Consider the following 1,893-nt stretch of genomic DNA (forward strand, 5'->3'; position numbering starts at 1 on the left):
AGCCACTTGTTTTCTTACTCATTTTCTCTTTGGATAATCTGTCCATTGTTGAACATCGGGTATTGAAGTGGACTGTTATTTTATTGCTGTCTATTTCTCCCTTCAGTTCTGTTAATAAATACCTTATATATTATATTTAGGTGCTCCAATATTGCATACATAGATGTATTTACATTTGTTACATCTTGTTGATGAATTTACCCCTTTATCATGATATAATGACTTTCTTTGTCTATTGTGACAGTTTTTGACTTAAAGTCTGGTTTTTTTCTGATGTAAGTAAAATAAATGTAGCCAACTAAGCTCTCTTTTAGTTACTATTTGCATGGAATATCTTTTTCCATTTCTTCACTTTCATCCTCTCTGTGTTCTTAAAAGTAAAGTGAGTCTTCTTACTTAGCATATAGTTGGATTCTAATTTTAAAATCGATTTAGTCACTCTGTTTTTTTATTGGTAAATTTAATTCATTTATATTTAAATAACTTATTAATAGGTTAAGTGTTTATTATTGCCATTTTGTTAATTGCTTTCTGACATTTTGTCATTCCTCTATGTCTTTCTTCCTCTATTTCTGTGTACCTTTGTGATTTATTTCTGTAATGGTATGCATTGATTTCTTTTTTTATCTTTTGTGTATTTACTACACATTTTTTTCTTTGTGATTACCATGAGACTCATGTAAAACATCTTAGACTATTACAAGATGTTTTATGAGTCTCATGATAATCACAAAGATTACTATTAAAGCTGATAACTTTGAACATGTTAAAACAACCTTACACTTCAACTTTTTCTTCCCCCCATTTTATGTTATTGATGCCACACTTCATATCATTTATATTGTGTATACTAAAAAGTTATTATAGTTATTTTCATACCTTTTTCTTTTGACTTTTGTGCTAGAGTCAAACATGATTTATGTACCACATCATAACGTAAGAGTTTTTTTTTTTTTTTTTAACGGAGTCAGGCTGGAGTGCAGTGGCGCTGTCTTGGCTCACTGCAACCTCTGCCTCCTGGTTTCAAGCGATTCTCCTACCTCAGCCTCCCGAGTAGCGGGGACTACAGGTGTGGACCACCATGCCTGGCTAATTTTTGTGTTTTTAATAGAGATGGGGTTTCACTATGTTGGCCAGGCTGGTCTCGAACTCCTGATCTCGTGATCTGCCTGCCTTGGCCTCCCAAAGTGCTGGGTTTACAGGCGTGAGCCACTGCGCCTGGCCACATTAGAGTATTCTTAATTTGACTATGTTTGTTTTTTGGGAGTTTTCTACTTTTCTCTCTTTTTGTTGTTAGTGTCCTTTCTTTTCAACTTGCAGGCCTTTCTTTAGCATTTCTTGTAAGGCAGGTCTAGGGGTGTTTAATCCCCCTAGCTTTTCTTTGTCTGGGACAGTCTTTATCTCTACTGCATATCTGAAGGGCAACTTTGCCAGATAAAGAACTACTGATTAGCAGTTTTATTATTTTATCACTTTGTATATGTCATCCTACTCTTTTAGCCTGCAGGACTTCTGCTGCAAAATCCTCTGATACTCCAGTGGAAGTTGGTTTGTATGTGACAAGCCTGTTTTCTTTTGCTGCTCTCAAAATTCTCTCTTTGTCTTTGAATTTTGAGAATGTGCTTATTATGTATCTTGAAGAGGTGTCTTTATGTTTAATATATTTGGGGCTCTTTACCTTCGTGGATCTAGATGTTCACTTCCTTCAGATATGAGAATTTTTCTGTCATTATTTACTTAAAGAAATTTTCTGCCCCTCTTGTCTCTATTCTGTTGGGCCTCAAATAATGTGTATATTGGTCCATCTGATTGTGTCTCATAAATTCTGTATACTTTCTTCATAATTTTTTATTCTTATTTCCTTTTGTTGTTTTGACTGAGTAATTTTGAATA

General features: G+C 34.2%; 1 non-coding gene across 1 annotated transcript; it reads left to right on the plus strand.

Moving 5' to 3' along the window:
* The first annotated feature begins 654 nt into the window (after window positions 1-654).
* On the plus strand, window positions 655-736 carry MIR3672 (microRNA 3672). The gene has a single exon (NR_037444.1). It is a non-coding gene; the product is annotated as a microRNA 3672 (primary transcript).
* The last annotated feature ends 1,157 nt before the right edge of the window (window positions 737-1,893 follow it).

Source organism: Homo sapiens, chromosome X, assembly GCF_000001405.40.
Source record: "Homo sapiens chromosome X, GRCh38.p14 Primary Assembly".
Classification (NCBI taxonomy): Eukaryota; Metazoa; Chordata; class Mammalia; order Primates; family Hominidae; genus Homo; species Homo sapiens.